This window comes from Homo sapiens, chromosome 15 (genome assembly GCF_000001405.40).
Source record: "Homo sapiens chromosome 15, GRCh38.p14 Primary Assembly".
NCBI lineage: Eukaryota > Metazoa > Chordata > Mammalia > Primates > Hominidae > Homo > Homo sapiens.
Window position 1 is genome coordinate 20,422,095 of NC_000015.10, and position 25,828 is coordinate 20,447,922.

General features: G+C 44.7%; 1 pseudogene across 1 annotated transcript in view; it reads right to left on the minus strand.

The window, feature by feature from the left end:
• The window catches only part of HERC2P3 (HERC2 pseudogene 3), a 97,785-nt pseudogene that overhangs the window by 13,699 nt on the left and 58,258 nt on the right, over nucleotides 1-25,828 (minus strand). The window contains exons 16-25 of the transcript NR_036432.1: nucleotides 23,765-23,952; nucleotides 22,133-22,325; nucleotides 21,277-21,427; nucleotides 18,380-18,548; nucleotides 17,414-17,561; nucleotides 16,833-17,029; nucleotides 16,498-16,728; nucleotides 15,200-15,338; nucleotides 13,755-13,898; nucleotides 8,999-9,141 (exon numbers count right to left, since the gene is read on the minus strand). The product of NR_036432.1 is annotated as an HERC2 pseudogene 3 (transcript). The remainder of the gene's footprint in view (nucleotides 1-8,998; nucleotides 9,142-13,754; nucleotides 13,899-15,199; nucleotides 15,339-16,497; nucleotides 16,729-16,832; nucleotides 17,030-17,413; nucleotides 17,562-18,379; nucleotides 18,549-21,276; nucleotides 21,428-22,132; nucleotides 22,326-23,764; nucleotides 23,953-25,828) is intronic.

Below are 25,828 nucleotides of genomic sequence, written 5' to 3' on the forward strand. Positions count from 1 at the left end.
TATGTTCCTTTGAGTACATACCAAGAAATAGGATGACTGGGTTCAATGGTAGCCTTGTTTTAAGTTCTTTGAGAAATCTCCAGACTGCCTTTTACAGTGGCTGAACTAATTTACATTCCTACAAACTACAAATGAGGATTCCCTTTACCATCTGTTGTTTTTTGACTCTTTAATAATAGTCATTCTGACTGGTGTAAGATGGTACCTCATTGTGGTTTTGATTTGCATTTCTCTGATGATTAGCGATGATGAGCGTTTTTTTCATGCTTGTTGACCATTTATATGTCTTCTATTGAGGAGTGCCTGTCCATGTCCTTTGTCCATTTTTTAATGGAGTTATTTGCTTTTAATCTGTTGATTTAAGTAGATTATGAATATTAGACCTTTGTTGGATGCTGATATGGTTTTGCTCTGTGACACTCGCAAATCTCATCTCAAAATGTAATCCCCACATGTCCCAGGAGGGACCTGGTGGAAGGTGATTGGATTATGGGGGCAGTTTCCCCCATGATGTTCTCATGACAGTGGGTGAATTCTCACAACAGCTGATGGTTTTAAAGTGTGGCACTTCCTTGTTTTCTTGCTCTCTGTCTCCTACCACCAGGTAAGAAGTGCCTTCTTCCCCTTGACCTTTTGCCATAACTGTAAGTTTCCTGAGTCCTATCCAGCCATGGGGAACTGGGAGTCAATTAAACCTCATCTTTTTTTTTTTTTAAATAAATTACTCAGTCTCAAGTAATGCTTTATAAGCAGTGTAAAAACAGACTAATACAGATACATAGTTAATGAATATTTTCTCCCATTCCATAGGTTGTCTGCTTATTCTGTTGCTGTGCAGAAGCTGTTTAGTTTAATTAGGTATCACTTGTCAATTTTTGTTTTTGTTGCAATTGCTTGGGGACTTAGCCAAAAATTATTTGCCAAGGCCAGTGTTGACATGAGTATTTCCTAGGTTTTACTCTAGTGCTTTTATAGTTTGAGATCTTACATTTAAATATTTAATCCATCTTGAGTAAATATTTGTATTAGTGAAAGATAAGAATTTGGTTTCATTTTTCTGCTTATGGCAAGCCAGTTAACCTGAAACATTTATCAAATGGCAAATCCTTTCCCTATTGCTTGTTTTCATTGACCTTGTCGAAAATCAGATGGTTGTAAGTGAGCAGCTTTATATTTTAGCTTTCTATTCTGTTCCATTAGTCTATGTGTCTGTTTTTGTATCAGCACTATGCTGTTTTTTCACTGTAGCCTTATTGTTTGAAGTTGATAGTGTAAGGCCTCCAGCTTTGTTCTTTTTGCTTAGGTTTGCATTGGCTATTTGGGCTCTTTTTTGGTTCCACATAAATTTTAGAATAGTTTTTCTAATTCTATGATAGGTTGATAGGAATAGCATTGCATCTGTAAATTGCTTTGGGCAGTATGGCCATTTCAGTGATATTGATTTTTCATTTCTATGAAACATTAAAACATCCCATGAGTATGGAATGTTTTCCCACTTATTTATGTCACCTGATTTCTTTCAGCATTGTTTTCTAGTTCTCCTTGTAGAGATTTTTCACCTTCTTGGTTACCTGTACTCTCAGCTGTTTCATTTTCTTTGTGGTTATTGTAAATGTGATTGTGTTCTTAATATGACTCTCAGCCTGGATGTTATTGGCACATATAAATGGTACTGATGTTTTCTACATTGATTTTGTATCATGGAACTTTGCTAAAATCATTTATTAGTTCCAGTAGCCTTTCTCCTGCTTGATTGCTCTGGCTCTGACTTCCACTACTACGTTGAATATGAAATGGTCAGAGTGCTTGCCTTTTTTTCAGTTCTCCAGGGGAATGTTTCCAGCTTTTGCCCATTCAGTATAATGTTGGCTCTGGGTTTGCTATAGACGACTCTTATTATTTTGAGTCATATTATTTTGATGTCTAGTTTGTTGAGGGTTTTTATCATGAAGTGATGTTGAATTTTATTGAAGTTTTTCTGCATTTTTTGAGATGATCAGATAGTTTTTGTGTTTAAATCTGCTTATGTGGCGAATCATATTTATTGATTTGCATATGTTGATCCAACCTTGCATCCCAGGAATAAAGCCTACTTTATCGTGGTGAATTAACTGTTTTATATGCTGCTGGATTCAGTTTATCAATATTTTGTTGAGAATTTTTTGTCTGTGTTCATCATGGACATTGGCCTCAAGTTTTCTTTCTTCATTGTGTTTCTGCCAGAGATTGAGTTTGAAAGGATTCCCTCCTTTTTTTGTAATAGCTTCAGTAGAATTGGTACCAGTTTTTCTTTGTATATCTGGTAGAATTTGACTGTGAATCCATCTGGTCTAGGACTTTTTTGGTTGGTGGTAGTTTTTTTTTATTACATATGATTCAATTTCAGAGTGAGATATTTCACTATTCAATGCTTCAATCTTTTCCTGATTCAATTAGAGACTGTGTGTTTCTAAGAATTTATCAATTTCATCTACAGATTTTCTAATTTGTATGCATAGAGTTGTTCATGGTATTCTATGGGAAACTTTTGTAATTCTGTGGGATCAGTTATATTATCTTTGTTATTTCTGACTATACTTATCTTCTCTTTTTTTCATTGTAAATCTAGCCGTTAAATAGCAGTCTATTCATCTTTTCAAAGAACAAACTCTTGCTTTTTTATTATTTTTTCTACGGATTTTTCTATCTCAATTTCAGTAAGTTCTCTAATTTTAGTTATTTTTTTCTTCTGCTAGCTTTTTCTTTTCTAGTTCCTTTAGGTGCAAAGTTAGATTGCTAAATTGAGATCTTTCTAACTTCTCGATTACTGTATTTAGGGAAATAAACTTTCCTCTTAACACTGCTTTGGCTGCATCTCAAAGATTTTGGTAAGTCATATTCCTGTTTTCAATATTTCAAAGAATTTTTCTTAAATCTACCTTTATTTTGATGTTCACCTAAGAGTTATTCAGGAGTAAGTTGTTTAATTTCCCTATATTTGTGTAGTTTTGAGAGGTCTTCTTGATTTTGATTTCTATTTTTATTTCACTGTGGTCCAAGAGTTTGCTTGGTATAATTTCAATTTTTTGAATTTATTGAGACTTGCTTTATGATTAAGCACGTGGTTGATCTTAGAATATGTTCCATGTGCAGCTGGGAAGAATATATATTCTGTGGATATTACCTGGGGTATTTTGTAGATGTCTATTAGGTCCAATTGTTAAAGTGTTGAGTTTATGTCCAGAGTTTGTTAGTTTTCTTCCTTAATGATCTGTTTAGTGCTGTCAGTGGGGTGGTGAAGTCTCCTGCTGTTATTGTTTGGTTGTCTAAGTGTTTTCATGGGCAATGAAGAACTTGTTTTATGAATCTGGGTGCTCCAATATTGAGTGTATATATATTTAGTACAGTTAAGGTTTCTTGTTTGATTGTACCCTTTATCATTATGTAATGCCCTTCATTGTTCTTAATTTTTATTGGTTTAAAGTCTATTTTATATAAGAATAGCAACTTCTGCTCTTTTTTGCTTTCTGTTCACATGGTAGCTCTTTCTCCATTCTTTTGCTGTGAGCCTGTGGTTGTTCTTAATGTGAAATAGGTCTCTTGAAGATAACAGATGGTTGGGTCATTTATCCAGCCTGCCACTCTGTGTCTCTTAAGTGGAGCATTTAGCCCATTTACATTCAAGGTTAGTATTGGTATCTGTGATTTTAATTCTGTCATCATGTTGCTAGCTGATTGTTATGTAGACTTGATTATGTGGTTGCTTTATGGCGCCTGTGTGCTATGTGGTTAAATGAGCTTTTGTGGTATGACTGTCATTCTTTCTTTTCCATGTTTAGCACTCCCTTAAGGACCTCTTGTATGGCTAGTCTAGTTGAAACATATTCCCTTAGCATTTGCTTCACTTCACTTTTAAGCTTAGTTTGGTGGGATATGAAATTATTGGTTAAAATTTATTTTCTTTAAGGATGCTGAAAATAAGCTACCAATCTCTTCTGACTTGTAAGATACCTGCTGAGAGGTCTGCTGCTAGCCTGATGAAGTTCCTTGTATGTGACTTTACCCTGCCTTTAAGACTTTTTTCTTTAGTGTTGACCTTGATGAATATTGTACTATGTGCCTTGGAGGTAGTCATTTCATGTCATATCTATCTGGGGTTCTGCGTGTTTCTTGGATTTGTATGTAAATCTCCCTAAAGAGATAAGAGGAATTTTCATGAAGTGTATCTTCAAATATATTTTCCAAGTTGCGTATTCTCTCTCCTCTCTCAGGAATGACAATGAGTCATAGATTTTTTCGCTTTACAAAATCCCATATTCTTGGAGGTTTCACTTTTTTTTCCCATTTTTTTCCTTATTTTTGTCTGAGTTGACTTAAAGAACAAGTCTTCAAGTTTTGAGATTATTTCCTCAGCTTGGTCTATTCTGCTGCTAATACTACTGATTATTTGATAAAATTCTGATAATGAGTTTTTCAGCTCTAGAATTTAAGTTTGGTTATTTCTGAAAATGGCTATTTTATCATTCAGCTCTTGGATTGCTTTACTAAATTATTTGAATTCCTTGCACTGAATTTCACTTTCTCCTGAATCTCAATGGGTTTCCTGGCCACAGATTCTGCATTCTGTGTCTGTTATGTCAGTCATTTCAGACTGGTTAGAAACCATTGCTGGGGAGCTAGTGGATCATTTGGAAGTGAGGGTACACTCTGACTTTTTGGATTGCCAGAGTTCTTGTGCTAATTCTTTCTCATCTGGGAGGGTTGGCATTTCTTTAACTGTGGTGTAAGTTGAGAATAGTCAGTTGGCTTAATTTCTGAATGCTTTTAGAGGCCCAGGGCTCTTACAGAATCTTTATGTGTGGGTAAATTTTTGACTTGGTTTCACAGCTGTATATATTAGCAGAATAAAATTTAGGTGTTGTAGTTTGGGTGGCAATCCAGTGAATGAGGTTTAACAGTAATGACTGGTAGCTAGGTTAATACCTGGTCACAGGGCTTTTTTGTACTTCTTGAGTTCACAGATATGCTCTGCAGTGATATGGAGTGATACGGTTCCCTCAACAGATCTGCTTGTAAAACTTGAGAGAGCTCCCTCTGATAGCTGGTGCTGTGCCCACATTTCTTTTGTTAGTTTTTCTGAGCCACATGGTCTTCTTGGGCAGAAGCTGTGGCAGGGAGATATGCCACATGCTTTTTGGACTGGACCTGAGAAGGGAGGCATGTTCCACTCTTACCCCAGCTCAGGAATCCGTGCATCTCACCCCTCTCACGGCTCTGAGATTGGGGCCTCTTTCTCTGTTTGAGTGCCAGCCACAAATCTTGGTTCCATACTCCCAAGCTGCACACTACAGCCCTGGGGACACTGGGATATCCCATGGCTTGGGTTTGGGTTCTTGCTGCACTGGGGGATACAGTGTGCTCCAGGGTCATGAAGAAAATATGTGGGTGCAACTACACACTCAGGCTGACCTTCCAGGGCTGCACTATGCACCTGCTCCTACAGGGCAGCTAGGCATGGACCCTGGGAAGGGCTGGTAGGCAGAAGGGCTTGCAGAGTAGATGCACCCCAGTCGTGCAGGAAAGCTGGCCCAACTCTCTCCTGGCTTGGAGGTCAGTAGGGGTCCATGCCTCCCAGAGGAGAATGGAAATCCCTGGGGAATGGGCATCTATGGCTGCTCTTGCCTGCAGCAGTCCAGCACACAAAAGCTCCTGGGCTCTGTGCTGTCCAAAGTCTGTCTCTGCCTGCTCCCTAGGGAGATCCCCCTGCCAGCTCACACATCCATGGTCGCGTAAGGTCCCTTGTAGCTAGAAAATCAAATGCTCATGGCAAGAGTGAACCATCCCTCAGTTCCTTCATTCAGTCCTTTACTGGAATTGTTTGGGGCCAGGAATTAGCCCTGGCATTTGGGTAGCTAACTCAGGGTTTCCAGCTTCCTGCCTCTTCAGTCTTGGCTTCGACCTTGCCTCTCCATCCACTTTCAGCATTTTCTCCTTGAATACCTGTTCAAATTATGGTGGTTTACCTAATAATTTGGCCTCTCTTGAGAGGAGTGGCACTTCCTGGCTGTGTCTAGTCGGCCATCTTGTTCGTCTCCTCTATCTTAAAATGGAGTCAACCAATCCACTACAAATAATGTGATTTGAGGAAGTCCAAAGCTCTAATTCAGGTTTTTATTTGTTTGTTTTGTATGCTTTCCGGGTTTTTTGTTGTTGTTAAAAACTATCTCAACAATTTTATTCTCTCCAATAAATGTACATCTCATCTAAATTTTGGTATTGAGCTTTTTTATACATCCTATTTCCAACCAAAAAGACTTGTTTTTAAATAAATGCAACTTAATCATCCTATTTCTATTATTTAGATACTATCATTCCTTCTATCTGGAGGTCTCTGTAATGGCTGTATTAACAGTACTCAAAAGTAATGTGGATAATAATTGTGGATTTTGTTCTTGTTTTTAAATCTGTCTTTAATCATTTCATGTAAAGTTGTAAGCCTTTGAAGCATTTGAGAATTTCATACAAAACATTTCTGAAAGATAAATTTTCTCATATTTTCTTGGACACGCTGATTGATCATTTTAGTTAGTCTCTGAAGAAATCCATGAAAAAGTACTTGTTACTATTTTTACCCACAGCAGCATAATTTAAATTTGAGTTAAATAGGCTTATAAACAAATTTGTATAACCATGATGAAAAATCATCTTCCCAATAGTATAGCTAAACTAATAAAGTAACTGTGGTAGGGATGAGCAATTATAGTCCAAGCAATGTAAACTCAATTCATACGTGGAAAACCACAGGGGCAAGGGGAATACAGTATATAGACAGTGTCAGACAGTATATAGACAGGAGGCAGAACCCAGAGCCAATACAATGTAACGTCCAAAGAATCCAGAATGAAATAAAAATTCTCATATGTGAAGGACAACAACCAATAACTGACTATAATCAAGGGAAAAAAACTGCAAAGAGCAGCAGACCAACAGGTGGGCAGATGTTAGAATTAGAAAACAAGAAATTCAACATAACTATCAGAAATATGTTTTAAAATGTACAGCAAAAGATAGATTTGGCCAGGCACGGTGGCTCACACCTGTAATCCCAGCACTTTGGGAGGCTGAGGCGGGCAGATCATGAGGTCAGGAGTTCGAGACCAGCCTGGCCAACATGGTAAAACCCCATCTCTACTAAATATACAAAAATTAGCCAGGCATGGTGGCAGGCACCTGTAGTCCTAGCTACTCGGGAGGCTGAGGCAGGAGAATCACCTGAACCCAGGAGTCAGAGGTTGCAGTGAGCTGAGATCACACCACTGCACTCCAGCCTGGTGACAGAGCAAGACTCCATCAAAAAAAAAAATAAAATAAAATAAAGATAGACTTAAAGGATGAAGAAAGGAACTGTCAGAAGAGATATAAAACTATTAAATGAGAGCCAAATGGAAATAAGAGATGTGAGAAATATAAAATAAAGTATGTCTTGGATGGATATAACAACAGATCAGGCCCAACAAAGCAAAGCATCTTGACCTTTCAAACAGATCAAGACAAACTAACCAAGCTACTAACAAGGAGAAGAAAGACTTTCTATTAAAGTCATAAAAGGAAACTCACTAACCGTGTAACAGATGTATAATAGTATTTCCAGAAAAGAACAAAAAGAGCAAGACGGGGAAAAAAACAGCAGTCAAAAGTTTCCAAATTTGGTAGGGGAACAAAAATCAAGCCAAAGATGCAAGCAGCTTAAATAAATTTCAAGGAGGATGGTGGGGTGGGCGGGGTGGGCCACCATTGCATACATGAGCCCAGCTTAGGGAAACTGCAGAAAACCAAAGATAACACAAAATACGAAAAGCAACCAGAGAAAACAGACATTTCATACAAAAGAAGAGATGAGAACAACGACTCTCCATCGGAATCCATGGAGACAAAACAGCGGAAGGTCTTTTTTTGTACAACAGTCCTTCTCAGTTCCTGAAGAACAACTCTACACGGCCTTCTAGGTGTTCACACTCGGCATCTCCCAGCATGACTGCAGGGAGCACGTGCACCGCCCCACGTGCTCTCAAGTTGCTCAGCGTCTTTTGATCTCTGCCAGGGAGACTGGAAACACAACCAGGCCCTTTAAAATGAACCTTCACCTCAGAGGTTCCCAGACCTGAGAAGAAGCTGGAGTTCAGAAGAGCTCACGGCCAACCTCCTCCCTTCCTGCCCACACCCGTTTCTTGCTTTCTCCCTTTGCACCCCCACCATCTTTCCAGCTCGTTCTAGGACTGGGGGAGGCCTCCCACCTGTCCAAGGCAGTGGCTGCCTCATCTGGACCCTTGCTCCCAAGAAGGGCCCTGCTATCTGAGGGTTTCTGTTAGAGTAATTTCTGATTGCCAAACTGAGTACTGATAGTTTTATTTTTGTCTCTGATATTTTGTCCAGATTTTTAATGTATTACACAGCAAGAAAGATTTTGGAATGAACATCTCTAATCCTCTATGTTGCCAGCCATGAAAGCTCCCATCCCTCTTACACTCAATCACGTCGCCTCCTCTATGCGAACGTCCCGTAGCCCTGACCCTGTGCCTCGCTGCTGCCCTCACCTGCTCCACAGCATGGAGAGAGCGGAGAGGCTGGCGGCACCAGAGCACCCCCAAGAGGCTCCTGAGTGAATGAAACAGACAAACGGCTGCCAGAGTCCTGACGAGCCTCTTTGAATAATTCTACTTCCTGGAAAAAGATCCCTTCATGAAGATGTGAGCGTTTAACCCATGCTGCATCTAGTTAATATTTTTTCACAATTTACACAAACCCAAAATAAGGTTAAACTTCAACCCTCTCAGTCTTTAGTATTATAATGTTCTGCAGACTATGCACAAACATGGTTAAACCCCAATGAATCATTAGAATTATTTGCGTACTATCATTTAACATTCAGAATAGATCCTTAAGAAAATATACATCTAGAAAAAAAGTGTTCACAATTTAGTGCTGTGGATTAAAAACTGTCAAGGCTGCATGGCTGTACCTCAAGTTCCTGTTTATCAAATATGGCCTTCACAGGAGACGGCTGGGTGGCCGAGGCCAGCAGCTGCTGCAAGAGGATCATGGGGGGCTGCGGCCCTTCAGGAGACATGTCCCCAAGGTCAGGTGATACCACTGCTCCATCATCTGAATTTAAAAACAAAATATGTGTAAGATTCTATTTTCAACTGTGAACACCACTTTACTATTAAAGAAAATGCATTAAGCATGTTAAATCAGGTATGACTTCTGCCTCATTATGTGATAGAAAACCAAAATCTTCAAGGTTCAGACATCGAACAAAAACTAGACTCTAGGTTGGGTGCGGTGGCTCACGCGTGTAATCCCTGCACTTTGGGAGGCCAAGGCGGGTGGATCACGAGGTCAGGAGATCGAGACCATCCTGGCTAACACAGTGAAACCTCATCTTTATTAAAAACACAAAAAAATTAGCCGGGCATGGTGGTGGGCACCTGTAGTCCCAGCTACTTGGGAGGCTGACACAGAAGAATGGCATGAACCTGGGAGGCGTAGCTTGCAGTGAGCCGAGATCACGCCACTGCACTCCAGCCTGGGCGACAGACCAAGACTCGGTCTCAAAAAAAAAAAAAAAAAAAAAAATTAGCTGGGCATGGTGGTGCGTGCCTGTAATCCCAGCTACTCGCAAGGCTAAGGCAGGAGAATTGCTTGAACCAGGGAGTTGGAGGTTGCAGTGAGCCAAGATCACGCCACTGCACTCCAGCCTGGCAACAGAGCGAGACTCCATCTCAAAAAAAAAAAAAAAAAGGAACTAGACTCTAAACCACTTTCACTGCCTGCTTTTGGTCTCTGTCCTTCATTAGTGCATCTGTCTCTTAGAGCCAGCAAATGCTCCTTCCCAGATTTCTGCACTTGGTCTGATTCTTTCTCTTTTTCTTGAGATGGAGTCTCACTCTGTTGCCCAGGCTGGAGTGCAGTGGCACAATCTTGGCAAACTGCAACCTCTGCCTCCTGGCTCAAGTGATTCTCCTGCATCAGCCTTCCCTGTAGCTGGGACTACAGGCACATGCTACCACGCCTAGCTAATTTTTGTATTTTTAGTATAGATGGGGCCAGGCTGTTGATTAGATTTCACCATGTTGGCCAGGCTGGTCTCCAACTCCTGATCCACCCGCCTCGGCATCCCAAAGTGTTGGGATTACAGGCGTAAGCCACCATGCCTGACCTACACACTCTCTTTCATGTTCACTCACGGCTTCAGTAACCCCTGACACAGACACATCCCACGTGCATATTTCTAGCTGTAGCTTTTCCAGCTAAGCCTTGTTGAGATCATTAAGTGACCCCAATTCCAAATGTGTCATGTGCTCAGGGTGATGGCTTTTTGTCTGTTATGAGTAGCTTTAGGTGCAGCCTTTAGGACTCTGTTTGACACAGCCCCAGGGAGATCCACTGCGCTCAAGCCCACTTCACACATCTAGGTACTCATCCAGGTACTCACAGCATTTGCATGTGCTGGTTTTCTTCAGTGACAATTTCAACTAACTAGACCAGGAGCTGGAAATCTTTCTCTTAAAGGGCCAGAGAGTAAATAGTTTAGGCTGATGGGCTGTACAGTCTCTGTCCCAACTACTCAGCTCTGCCATTGCAGAGCAAAAGCATCCAGAGACGATGTGTAAACAAGTGGTGTGCCTGTGTTCCCATAAAAATTTACAAAAACAGGTGCACGGCAGTTTTGTCAATCTAGCTCTGTTCGGAGTCCCTGCTCGGCCCAAAGCACAGACTTGATCATCCTGATTCAGGTCTGCTGTAATTGCTCATCGGGCTGAGTGCAGAACAGAACAGCCAATCCAATTCCCAGGCTCCAATCTCCCAATCTCTACAACTGGGAAATCTTCATGTTCCCTACGACCTCTACTATTAATTGATTCTATACTTTCAATTGATTTCTTTCATCCTCAGCAGGTTTAAAATTAATTTCATAGCATCCTCTCCTCTTAAGAAGCAAACGCACACACTCCACATTCTACTGGACTTATTTGTTTCAAACACACTACTCAATATTCCTCCCTCAACTCAAGCTTGAAACAGCAGTCACCTTCCACTTTTTGCTGGTTCCCCATAAAGTTATCATCTACAAGACTACACCATCACAGTGGATGGCACCTTCCTTCCACCAGAACCTTCTTTCCCTTTTCATGCCTTCCCCCTCATCACCTGACGCAGGAGCAATTCTCCATCTCTGTCATCTCCTGTTTCAGATACTCCTATACCTTCCTAGCAGGTGTATCACCCGAAGGTCAATGCTTACCATGTGGCCCCTACCACAGCTTTCCAAGTGGGCCTCAAGTTTCACCCTGGTCTCCCAGGTACTCTGTAACAGGATGTCAGCTGCCCATCTAGCTTCAGCCCCACCACTCATCGAAAAACCCTGAGCTCCAAGAAGAGGAGAGCTGCTCAACGTGCTTCCAAAGACTCACCACGTTCACTCCTCTCCTCCTGCCTCCACCACCAGCAGAGTGCTTGTCTGCTGGCATCTGTCTGCCACAGCCTTCAAAGGCTGCCCGTCCAGTGCTCAGCTGCCACTGGCTCCAGACGCCTGTGGAACCACTCACATGCCTCACCGCCCCCTGGCCCCAGAGAACAAAGAGAGCCATCTGCATTCACTTCCTCTCCTCATCCAAACCCTAGAGAGCAATGATCATAGAAAAGGACTTCTCCGCAAAAGACTTAGCATAATGTCTTTCAATAGTTGGAGATCAAAAAATGTTTTTTTCTATTAAAAGTAACACAAGCTCATTCTAGAAAACTAAATATAGAGAAATATAAAGAAAATAAAGACAGCCAAAATTCCACCAAAGATTACTGGGTCACTGTTTTGCTAAACAGATAACTATGGCATATCTATAAACGGATATACATAGCAGTGTGCTTTTCTGTTCACTTATTGTTTTCATGTTTCCACAGCAATAAACATATACAGCTAGCCCTCCGTATCCATGGGTTCTGCATCCAAAGATTCAACAAACCACACATCAAAAATATTCAGAATAAAACAATTTTTTAAAATATAATTTTAAAAAGAATAGCAATAACAACTATTTACATATCATTTATTTTATTTTATTTTTATTTATTTATTTATTTTTTTGAGACAGAGTCTCGCTCTGTCACCCAGGCTGGAGTGCAGTGGCACGATCTCGGCTCACTGCAAGCTCCGCCTCCTGGGTTCATGCCATTCTCCTGCCTCAGCCTCCCAAGTAGCTGGGACTACTGGCACCCGTCACCACGCCCAGCTAATTTTTTGTATTTTTAGTAGAGATGGAGTTTCACTGTGTTAGCCAGGATGGTCTCAATCTCCTGACCTCGTGATCTGCCCACCTCAGCCTCCCAAAGTGCTGGGATTACAGGCGTGAGCCACCGCACCCAGCCTATATATCATTTATATTTTTAAAGTATTTCGGAGGATGTGCATAGGTTATATGCAAATACTACACCATTTTATAGAAGGGCCTTAAGCATTAGTGAATTCTGGTATAACTGGGGGTCTTGGAACTCATCCCCATGGATATTGAGGGAAGACTATACATGTACCATCATTTTGAATGGCACCATGATATCACACTGTACGGATACACAACATAAGAATGGGTATTTTGGTGTCTACAGTTTTTCAATACAAAAACAATACCAAAAAGGAGGCCATAACGACACTGTTGAATACATTATTTTTATTTATTATTTTTTTTGAGACGAAGTCTCACTCTGTCACCCAGGCTGGAGTGCAGTGGCACAATCTGCACCCTGCAATCCGCACACACGGCAACCTCCGCACCCCCCGGTTCAAGTGATTCTCCTGCCTCAGCCTCCCAAGTAGCTGGCATTACATGCAGCCACCACTATGCCCCGCCAATTTTTTTTTTTTTTTTTTTTTGAGACAGAGTCTTGCTCTGTTGCCCAGGCTGGAGTGCAGTGGCGCCATCTCGGCTCACTGCAAGCTCCGCCTCACAGATTCATGCCATTCTCCTGCCTCACCCTCCCAAGTAGCTAGAACTGCAGGCGTCTGCCACCTTGCCCAGCTAATGTTTTGTATTTTTAGCAGAGATGGGGTTTCACCGTGTTAGCCAGGATGGTCTCTATCTCCTGACCTCGTGATCCGCCCGCCTCGGCCTCCCAAAGTGCTGGGATTACAGGCATGAGCCACTGTGCCCAGGTGGTGAATACATTATCTTTACATGCCTTTTCGTGTGATAAAGTCCCACAGAATGACTTGCTGGGCCAAAGTATATAAATACATACATACATCTATGCATTTCAAAGTCCAACTCATTTCCTCAGACGCCCATTAGATGGCTACACCAACTGAAATTCCCAGCAGCAGCGTGTTCATGGAGTGCGGCTTTACGCGCATTTGAAGAACCAGCTTAGGTTCATCTTGTTACAATACAGGCTCTATTTCTTTGGTCTGGGGTGCGGCCTGGGAGTCTGCATTTCTAACACATACCTGTGTGCCACCAATCTTGCTGACCCATGCAGCAAACTTTAAATGGGAAGGCATGAAAATACCTTTTTCCCTCCCCACCCACCAGATGCCCTCAGTCTTGTCTTATAAGATGACGATGACAATTTTATTCACAGTTGGTGGTTGCTGGGCAGGCCACGTGTCTGTTTTGTACATTTATAAGCCACCTATGTCCATTTTTATGAACTGATTATTCACTTCCTTTGTCTACTTTCTACTGCCCTTCTTATAAAGATTTAAGAACTTTTTAAAAAGACACCTGTGTGAACAGTTCCAGTCTCCTGAACAGCTGGCTGAGACAGGATCTGCCGCAGTTTATCCTGGTGGGAGAACAGCGCCCGACCTGCTTTCAGGATGTATAGCTTCAACTGCTGGCACCGCAGCAGGTCCAGGTCCACTTGTCCTGCGGAAGGAAAGACTCAGTGAGAAGGGCGTGCCCTGCTCAGACTCCCTCCTCGCCAGCAGCAAGCCTCCGCCACATGGCGACGAGTAACGCTCTGCCCTTCAGGAATCTGCCGACCGCACACACTGTCCGTGACGAAGGGCTTGCCTTTCCCAGAGTTACACTCGGTGCTTCTGGGTAAGCATCTTCTGCCTCCTGGGTCTTCCTTCCCTGCTCTCCAGGCACCTAACTTGATAGGACGCAGGATTCAATGGGTTTAACACGGTTAGAACCATGTTAGCTACTATTAATATGATCAAATGTTCCCCAAGTTGCTGAAGTTTCAGCCGCTTCCACTCTTCTTCTAAGACTCCTCTGAGAGAATCTGTCAGCCCCACTAGCTCTTTAACTGATGAAGATCGCAGCAATGCCCAAGGCTTATCTGATAGCAGAGGCCGCAGAAGCAGCACAGAGAGCATGGGGTGGGAAGGAAGGAGGGCCGCAGGTGCTGCTCGGACACTGGCTCAACTAACTGGCAGACAGTTTTATTCACCACGATGGGAAACGGCAGCTACTAGAGAAAGCCAGCCAGCTGAATTTCGGACATCTGATGATTTGCATGCACTGCACCTCCAACCAGAGATGTGAATGGGAGATCCAGAGTTGAAAGTGCTTACATCATATATGCTGAAGCAGCAATCGTAGGTCTGTGGGAGCAAGAGGGGAGAAAACTCAAGAAGACTGGGCAGAATATGCCATAGTTATGGGTGAAACCACACAGACTTCCAGGACATAAAGAATGAGCAGAGAGAAGAGCTCCCTAGAAACATGGAAACAAACTCAGGAGAGCCGCATTCTAGACCTGAAGGAAGGCAAAGCCAAGCCAGGCTACAGTCACAGTCTTAGCCATCCTGAATGTCACAGGCAAGCCAGGCGCTTCCGGGACAGAGGCCCCTGGATCCGGCAGAGAACAGGCTGTGAGCCATGGTCCAACAGGGTGACGGGGCCACAGGGCCCTGGGATGGAGGGGAGGAGGGAAGAGGTGAACAGACTTCTCTTCCGGGATAAAGGGTGACACGGAGAAGAGGGTGTGAGCCATGGGGTTCTTCAAGTGTGGCTCCGAACATGGCGACAAAGGCTGACTCGAAAATACTCATTACCACGAACACAGGGTTACATTCCCAACCGCAACTCAACAAATGGTGAGCCCACGTGAACCCCAGGACTTTAGTACGTCCGTGAATTCACTCATAAAAGAACACTGTACAAACGACACGAGTTTAAGACGGCAGCTATTTCATCAAGAAGCGCCATGTACTGACCTGCAAAGGCCTGTTTAGTCGATTTCTTTATTTTGTGCTTTTCTAACTTGCTTCCAGCGAGGTTCACCAACTGAGCCCAGACAGACAGCATGGGCTCTGTGAAGGGCAGGTTGTTCACATTAAAGGCCACGGCAGGGAGCTGGAGAGGACACAGAAGCTGTCAGAGTGTGGCCAATATGACTAACAAATGAAACGTTCTGAAAGTCATCAAAACCATGGGCTTAATCCTGAAATGCCACACATACCCGTAAGCCTTTTTATAGCTGAGAATAATCATTTTTTAAAATGACATTAAAGGCAGGATAGAGATTTACACATATAATAAGTATAATCTATATTAATTTTTCTTTACAAACCTGTCAACAATAATTACATCAGTGTGGTGGTTACTATCTTCTCAGATATTTTCTATATACTTCAAGTTTTCTACAACATGTATATATTCCTATAATAATAAAAAAGAGTACTTTATAGAAAATATAGTCAGGCCGGGCACGGTGGCTCACGCCTGTAATCCCAGCACTTTGGGAGGCCAAGGCGGGCGGATCACCTGAGGTCAGGAGTTTGAGACCAGCCCGGCCAACATAGTGAAACCCCATCTCTACTAAAAATACAAAATTAGCCAGGCGTGGTGGCACACACCGTAATCCCAGCCACTCAGGAGGCTGAGGCAGGAGAATCGCTTGAACCCGGGAGGCAAAGGTTGCAGAGGGCCGACAACATTGTGCCATTGCACTCCAGCCTGGGTGACAAGAGCAAGACTCCATCTCAAAATAAAAAAGAAAAAGAATATATAGTAAGATTGCACTTGGGCTACATGAAAATAATGTAAATGGCTCCTTCTCCCTGTGCATCCTTGATTCACAGATTAAGATGACAGTAGCTGCTACATTAAGTCACGTCACTCAAAACTACTAAGCATTTTCTACATGAAGAAAGGCTGTTTTTTTAAAGGTGTTTAAACATGTTTGTTTTTTTAAAACTTGAGTTGTTGAATAAAAAGTAAACTTCATAAATTCACATTTTAAAATAATTAGAACTACCTCATAGATGCACGGTACCTTCTAGGTTGCTAAAGCCCTCTTCGTGTCTCTGAGGCTGAAATACACACGAACCACTGCTTTAAGTGCCCTGTGAGACAGGCCCTGCTTACCACAGAAGCACAAGCTCACACAGCTTCCTGGAAGGCAAACTTCAAGTACCAGAATCAAGTTCTTTCAAGTGCTGATGTTGGTGCTCGGTTCTAGTGTAAAGTCAATTTCCCTTATCATGCAGTAACTAAGCACAAGTTCACCTACTGGTTTCAGCTGATTCAATGGGCAAACGTGACACGTCCGCATGTCAGAGAACTGCACGGTGATTTTGCCCTTCAGGGTGATGCGAGTCATGGTGACTTCTCCAAAGTCATCGTGCACAACTTGGCCGCCCAGGCACAGGCGACCATCGATGCCTCCAACCACAGCCAGGACCGCCATGAGGCCCCCCACTTCAGGGTTCTCGGAATCAGGGAAGTAGTCCTCTAACTGGGCCTAGTGCAGACCAAACAGCGAGCTCGACCGGGGACACTCACGGAGCTGCCCAATCCCTACAGGTTTACTGTTCAACTAAATTAATTCTGAGAACACAAACCCACCCCTTTGGAAGGCCTTCCCGCAAAGCTGTGGGTGATGGAGCGGAGCTGGGAGTTGATGTACTTGTTGATGAGCCCATTCCACTGAGTCAGGGAGTGCAGCGTGTGCAGCAGTGCCACCACCTCCTCCGCCAGTGTGCTGCTGTGGGTGGCAGTCAGCGAGGCCTGCGGGCACACCCTGCGCCGCCTCAGCGTGGACTCTGAGGAGGAAACCAGGGGAGAAGCTGCTGCACCACTCTTCACCAGGGCACAGGGAAGGGAGACGGCCACTCACCTCTGAGTGACGGCACTGCGCCGCTCTTCACCAGGACACAGGGAAGGGAGATGGCCACCCACCTCTGAGTGATGGCACTACACGGCTCTTCACCAGGACACAGGGAAGGGAGACGGCCACCCACCTCTGAGTGACGGCACTGCACCGCTCTTCACCAGGGTACAGGGAAGGGAGACGGCCACCCACCTCTGAGTGATGGCACTACACGGCTCTTCACCAGGACACAGGGAAGGGAGACGGCCACCCACCTCTGAGTGACGGCACTGCACCGCTCTTCACCAGGGTACAGGGAAGGGAGACGGCCACCCACCTCTGAGTAACGGCACGTCAGAGGAGCACATAGTGAGCAAGCTCCCCAAGAAGTCAAACAGCTTCTCCATGAGGCATTTCATGTCCCTCGCCCTTTCGGTCTTGTCCCATGACGGAAGGACTGCTTGCAACAAATGCACAGCTAAGATCTGATAAAAGAAAATTTAAAATGACAAGCATTAAAAAAAATCTGATGAGGAAACTACAGATTGTTATTTTCTTTTTTTTTTTTTTTTTTGAGACAGAGTCTCGCACTGTCGCCCAGGCTGGAGTGCAGTGGCACGGTCTTGGCTCACTACAACCACCACCTCCCAGGTTCAAGCGATTCTCCTTGCTTCAGCTTCCTGAGTAGCTGGGATTATAGGCACTCACCACCAAGCCCGGCTCATTTTTTTTGGATTTTCAGTAGAGACAGGATTTCACTATGTTGGCCAGGCTGGTCTCAAACTCCTGACCTCATGATACACCTGCCTCTGCCTCCCAAAGTGCTGGGATTACAGGCATGAGCCACTGCGCCCAGCCTCTCTTTATTTTCTGTTCTCATAATGCAAGTAATCATGTGAAAATTTTGAGATTCATTATTTTACAGCCAGGTAATTACACTCAAGTTGATTAGTGATTAGGATTGTCAGGGACTTTAGAAAAAAGCAACATTACAGATGCATGTGTTTAATTAAAAAAGAATTATTTTTAGTTTAATTCTTAAGACAATTACACTACAAATTCTGTGAAGCAGATGAGTAAGTAGTTGCAGGATTTACCACTTAAGAGAAAAGCAGGTAAACTGAAGGTTAGCAACTTACCAATTATCAAGGACCTCTGCCCCTTGCCTCCAGAAAATCTACCCTGTCACTTCTAGACCCTTTCTGCACTCGTTACGGAATAAAGGCCCCTGACTCTGAGGGCAGGGAACTTCAGTACATGGAGGCCTCTCTCAGGGAACTGGTTTTGCCTGGCAGCACATTACCTGCCTCTGCAGCGAGGTGGCAGTGAAGGGTGCGTGCCCTTCCACGACCTTCATGAGCAGCGTGATCCACTGCAGGGAGCTGAGGGTGCCGCACACCTGCAGCGTGAGAGCGATGCTCTGCACAAACCCCAGCGTGCACCAGCTCCGGTGTTGCTCCCTGTACACCAGCCTGTTTGGAGAAGCGGCGGGAGGGAAAATAGACATGCTTGGTAACAAGTCCCTAAAGACAAATCCCTAAAGATATATCCTTATTTTTTTATCAACTTATTTTCTACAATAAGCTCCTTTAAAATATATTGCAGTTTGTAAATTAATTCAAACTAATTCAAAGTGAGAAGTGGAAGGCGGCTTTTAAGTTAGTTCAAGAAACATTTCCGAAGTTTTCTTTTTTTTTGTTTTTTTTAGAGATGGGCCCTCACTATGTTGCCCAGGCTGGTCTAAAACTCCTGGGCTCAAGTGATTCTCCTGCCTTGCCCTGCCGAATAGCTGGGACTACAGACATTTTTAAAACCTTCTAAATATGTGTCGTAAAAGTAGTTAGGGAATTTTAGCTATGTATTGTTTCTAGGCAATAGGAAAATGATCTATAATTCAAATAGTAATTTGCAACAGTGCATCTATTATATTTTTAATTTCGTGTTTTAAATATCTCCACAATCTTGGTTATATTTAATCTGCACCACTTAAATACTCTTTTTGTAATTTTAGTAGAGACAGTTTCCAATCCAAGTTTAATGCATCTGCATTAACAAAATGAGTTTTTCACTAGGTTTACACCACTGGATTCTGGCACCAGTGGGCCCACCTCTGCTCCGCCTGGCTCCAGGACTCCACTACTCCCTGAATGGAAGCTGAGGCTTGGAGGCTGGGCCCCCTGAGGGACCCCGCCCACAGCCCCACAGGACCTGCTCTCCCTCCCACCTCCCCCACCCTGCCCTCAGCTATCCAAGCTTATGAGGACAACTGCCTTCCTTCAGCACACTCACATGCGCTCACACACACACACACTCACTCTCACACCCTCATATGCATCCTCACACTCACACTGATACTAAGTTATTCAGACACACTCATGGGCACTCATACACCCACCCTCACACTTTCAGGTGCACTCACACCACTGTCGCAATCACACACACACAATCCCAGTCACACGTATGCACAAACAGATGCAAGCTGACACACACTCCCATGCACTCTCACATACACTTACCCCTCCCAATGCATACAAAAACTCACATATGCACTCACACTCCTCAACACTAGTAATGACCGATTACTCACCCACTCACACCTTTACCCACACACTTTCTCACTTTACACTCACACCTATACTGTTATAACCTCCCATTCACTGACACAAGCAAAATGCTCACATTCACTCACACGCATTCACAATAACATCACTCGTGCTCACACTGACACAAGGCACTCATACATTTACACAAATGCTCACACTCAATCGCACACTTACACTTGTGCCTGCCACCCACTCATACTTCCTCACACTCACCAACCCTCACTGACTTACACTTACACTGGGTGTCTCATTTGCACACCCAGTAATCCCCTCACACTCACACTCATGCCTCCCTCGTGCTCACCCTCACACACACACATTGGCTCAATGCACCGACGCTTTCACTCCCACTTCACCTGAATGTAGTCACCTGCCCACTCACATGCTCTCATGGACATACACACACCCACACAACCACATGCTACAAACACACCATCACACTTGCAACACAAACGCTCAGCCACTTGCCCATCGACCGCTAACACACTCACTCTCATCAATATGTGCGGACGCTCCAGCACACCACTAATACACGCATGCTCTCACACACACTGGAGGACGCCCACATACCCACCCACACTCACATGTGCTCACTCTCAGTCACATGCACACTCACCCCACTCCCTCAGCTCACATTTCTCATACTTACTCTCCACACACACAAACACTTTATGGATTAAACTGTGCCTGTCCTCCAACTTCACATACATTCGGAACCTCAGAATATGATCTTATTTAATGAGGTCTCTGTAGACGTCATTAAGGTAAGAATTTAGGTGACATCATGTTGGATTAGAGTCAAAGAAACTCAATGAAAGAGTCCTTTCAGAGACAGAAAAGGACATGCAGAACACAGGGGCAGGGGCCATGTGAAGACGCAGGCAGAGACTGGCACAATGCGTCCCAACACCAAGGAAGCCTGGAGCTCCCAGAAGCTGGACAAAGTAAGGAAGGACCTTCCCCTAGAGCCTGTGGAAGAAGCATGGCCCTGCCCGCACCTGGATTTGGGACTTCTGGTCTCCAGAACTCTGAGAGAACAAATTTGTTGTTTGAAGCCAGTGTTACGGGTTGAATTCAGAATTGCAAAATTCGTATGTTGAAGCCCTAACCCCTACCGTACCTCGGCAGGTGACCTTGTTTGGAAATAGGGTCGCTGCAGATGTAATCAGTTTGATGAGGTTGAATGATGTCCTCATGAAAAGGGGAGATTTGGAGGCGACTCACACACAGGGAGAATGCCATGTGAAGATGACGGCAGAGATAGGGGTGACACCTCTACAAGCCGAGGAACGCTAAAGAGACCAGTAAACTCCAGAAGCTGGGGCAGAGCCCTGAAGCAGCTTCTCCCTCACAGCCCCAGAAGGAACTACCCTTGATCTCAGCCTTCCAGCCACCAGAACCGTGAGAATTTCTACTGTGTAAGTCCCCAAGTTTGTATACTTTGTTACAGCAGCCACAGGAAAGGAATCCACACACATCCACACCCACCCACATGCACACCCAGACACGACAAGCGTGCGGCCCCCAGCGCTGACTCCCTGGGCCCTCGATCTCTCATTCCATACATGTCTTGTCCGTCATTCCGCTTTCCACTAACATTTGCAGCAGTCCGCATAAAGTCTTGGTGGCTTCACTCTGCATGATCTCAGCATGAACTCCAGCAGACAGACAAAGAGTCTGCAGTAAGTTAATAGTGCTGGTAAACATCATTGCAGTGGGGTGAATGTTCCTTTCAGTTTGTTCGGCTTCTAAAAAAAATAATCAAAATTACAAATTATATTGGCAGCCCCAGCCTCTTGGATGGTCTTACCAAGCCCAACCATGTGAAGCTTCACGTGTTTTAGGAACAGCTAAGAAATGTCACGAAACCTCCTCCCACAACCTGGATCTCCACAGATAGGATCTAGCTTTCTTGGTCCACCCCTAAATTCTCACCTCTGCTTCCCTAGAAGCGATAAAGTGCTGACTAACTCCACATTACATGAAGAGTTCAGAGTCAGGGACCACAGAGGAAAGGTAAAGGCAGGTGGCAGGTGGGGTGTGCTTGGGCAGGGGCTCTCACTGGAGGAGGACGCGATGGACCGAGACCGCAGGGCAATTCCACCAGGCCTCGGCTCACTCGCTCAGATGCAGGCTCAGCACCAACCACATGAGACTCACTGGTGATGCAGCTGCCCCCACCTGGCCACCACATTCTCAAAGAGGGGCGGGTGCACACATGAGAGGAAAATGCAGAAAGTCAGTTCCAGCCAGATCGCCGGATCCCACAGTCACTCCACACACCTGCATCGGAGGTGCCTGGGAGCTTATTTAAATTACAGGTTCCGAGGACAGAGCGCCAGCTGCAGGTGTGTCCTGACATCCCATTCTAAGGCCCAGATGGCAGTGGCAGCACCCAGCAACTGGACAGTTTGTAGGCTGCCTTGGACTAAACACCTTCCTGAGTCACCCACCAGAGTCGTCCTCTGTGTCCGAATCCTCTGCTGAGGGCTGTGCAGGGGCTGGCAGCTCTGCCAGCTTGAGGTCGTAATTTCCTTCTTTCCCCATCCTGTAGGAGTTGGTGCTGCCTGTGTCCCACTGGACTCTTATCCACCCGTCCTCTCCCAGCTCACCAATCACTCGGCCTAGGCCTGGAGGAGGCCTATCCTGAGAAAGCCAAAGTAGAGATCAGTTAGGAGGGTGCGTAACCTGCCCTGGTCCTTCCATGGCTCCCAGCAGACCTCAGTTAGGAGGGTGTGTGCCCTGCCCTGGTCCTTCCATGGCTCCCAGCAGACCTCAGTTAGGAGGGTGCGTGCCCTGCCCTGGTCCTTCCATGGCTCCCAGCAGACCTCAGTTAGGAGGGTGTGTGCCCTGCCCTGGTCCTTCCATAGCTCCCACCAGACCTCAGTTAGGAGGGTGCGTGCCCTGCCCTGGTCCTTCCATGGCTCCCAGCAGACCTCAGTTAGGAGGGTGCCTGCCCTGACCTGGTCCTTCCATGGCTCCCACCAGACCTCAGTTAGGAGGGTGCGTGCCCTGCCCTGGTCCTTCCATGGCTCCCACCAGACCTCAGTTAGGAGGGTGCGTGCCCTGCCCTGGTCCTTCCATGGCTCCCACCAGACCTGCCACACAGATGTCGCCATATGCCACCCTGTCTGTCAGGGGCTGTCCCCAGACACAGATTTCACCTCTCCTACAAAATGTGTGCTTGCATCATTTTAAATTAAATGGCATAAAATAACGTGCTCATGCTGCTTTACCAAGGAAGTCGGGGAAATCTCATCTCAATGAGGATCCTCTGAGTCAATGCAGAGACAGGGCTTTGCAGCAAGTCCTGTCCCCACAATCCCTCACGGGCCTTGCAAGAGCGGAAACCTGAAACAAGCACCAGCACCTCCACATTCCCTTTGCTTCAGTTTCCCCTGGGCCCCAGGGGGAAGCTCTGTCTCTCACTTCTGCAGGAGAAAGCTGTTTCTAGGATGGATGCTGTCTCCAGACACTGCTATTTCTAAGATGACTGTGACAAAGCCAGGGCTTACCAGCGTGGCTGAGAAAAGCCAGACAGACCATGGGAAGGTGAACACTGCCCTAACTTAGCTAGGGCTGTGGTAAGTGACTTCCACCTGGGGGCACCTGGCAGAGATTTAGAAGAGATCTGCGATGAGGGAAGATGGAAACGTGGCCACAGGCCCATGAAGTAGATCCCTAACTACTGGCTTCAGGGCACTTCGCAGCACATGGCCATCAGCCCACAGGGGCAGCATCTGGGCTTCCTGCCTCAGAGCCTTCACTACACCAACTTTCAGAATGAGATTTACTCTCTTGCTCACTCTCACACTCTTGTTCCAGTGACCCATCAAACTGAGCCTCATGCCAGTGAGTTTCCTGAAAAGAGCTGCCTCTCTTTCCAGACTTGATTCTGCTCAGATGCCCTACTTATGATTCCCTGTTTGTGTTCACTCCCTTCAGCTGCTCGGGAACCAACACCTGTGTCATCGATCAACTGACACATCCTGGATTATTCCAATTTCCACCCACCAATATCGTACAGAACTATGCAGAAGATAACTAATGTGTGGCTAATGTGTTCACATCAAATCTCTGAGTACCTGATCGCCCCATTTCCAGTCCACACCTCTCATGACCCTTGTTCCAATCTTCATCATGGCAGCCAGTTCTGGCCCTGAAACAGGGAGCTGCACAGGAGCCGTTTCCTTCCTTGTTTCTTCCAAAACTGTGGCAGAAGCACCTTGAGCAGAAGCATTCATATCTTCCTCAACGCTGTCACAACTGGGGCCTGACGGAGCATCAAAAACAATAGCTGAGCCAACAAGTAGCTACAGTGTCCCCTTAATACACACAAAACATTCACAAAGTACTAATGAAGATCGTAATTTTGAACAATCCATACTATATGTTTTATCAATATAATATTATGAATATTTTACTGATATAGGATAAAAAGAAGATAAACGGAAGGATGAAATACATAAATATCCTAGGAAGATATAAAAGATATTAAAATGCTCAGTAAAGCTACTTTCTCTACTTCTAGGAATTACTCCCCTGAAAAAAGCAAAATAACTGAGTTAGAAAGATCCTCATCACATTTTTTATTAATAGAAAAACAAAGATAACTACCTAAATATCTAACAGTGGGAAACTAACAAACTTTAATCATGGTTCTGTGCAGAAGACAGCTAACAGCTGGCCCGAGATACAACCTCAGACAGGGTTGCTGCAGGCTGGCCCTCAGCTGGAGTCTGGATCTCAGGAGGGCTCCCCCATTCCCTAGGTGGTAGGTGTGGTTCCCTGTGCCTGAACTGTCTGTACAAACAATGTGGTCTGTGCTGAAACCTGCTTTCCTTAGTCTGGAACTTGGTACACGCCAGGCAGGGGGTGCCCGTGTGATCAGTCCTGATGGAAACCATGGGCCTGGAGTCTCTACCCAGCTTCCCGGCAGACAGCACTTGACACGGCTCGGTGCCAGGGCAGTTAAGCTCGTCCTGTGTGGATCCTGTGGAAGCTTGTACCTGCTTTCCTCTGGACTTTACCCATGTCCTTTTTCATGATTTTGCTCTGTGTCCCTTCACTGTAATAAACTATAGCCCTGAGTACAACTACATGCTGAGTCTTGTGAGTCCTCCTGGCCAACCATCAAACCTGGGGGTGGTCTTGGAGACCCCTGACAATTGGTGCCCTGGGTGGCTACAGAGTCATCCATAGCACAAAACAGAAGCCGAGCTGCTGTCACCTGAGAGAAGTAAAACTTCCCAATGGATCTGAAAATAGGAGCGCTAACCCTAGGAGAGTAGGCTAGATTTTTAACCCCCCTTTTCCCACTTGCTAAACTGAGAGGGGGTAGGAGTGTGGTTCTGGTAACTCCCTTGATTTTAGTTTTCTCCTCCAGGTGGGAGGGAAAAAGATCCAAACAGTCCCAAAGGTGGGCTGGGGTGGACCAAAAAATGTAAAAAGTTTGTGTTTCTCTCTCTTCCAAGAGAACAAAAAAGGATATTCAATTCCCAGGGCTGGAGCAAAACTTTAGATAAACTAGCAGGAGAAACAGCCTTTCCTTTAGCCTAGCCGCTACTTTAGGGCCCCCAGGAAGGGGCCCCAAGGAAGGGACAGGAGTTGCATTCCAGGTGGATCTCCCAGGATCCCCTGGGCAGCTATACTGTTAACTCTGTAAAGACTGAATTTATTGCTAAGGGCTTGAATAAATTTGCAACCAAAACCGGGGGGAATTTTTTTTTATTTTACATAGCTTTATGTTTTGTGGCTGTTACATGTGGATGTATACATTAAGCTGGTATAAAATATTATATGTTTATAATTTCTTAAATGATAAGAAGGATACCCTGATCAGGGCAAGCTGCAAATATAGACGGATATTCATGAGACACAACTTCCTTGCTTTTTGCAGCCAGTGGGCCAGATGAAATTTAAACACATGAATATTATCAACAGAACAAGTCCCCATACTTAATGATTTGTGCTGTGATTTTTACTTATTGGAACCTCTGGGGGAAAAGTAGACAACATAAAAAGGCCATTTCTCGATGGAGATATGCTTTTGTAATTTTTAAATGCAACTTTTGGTTGCTAATGAGGCCTCAGGAAATCAGATATAACCCTTACTAGATGATTCTTTTCAGCTGTAATACACATATTAA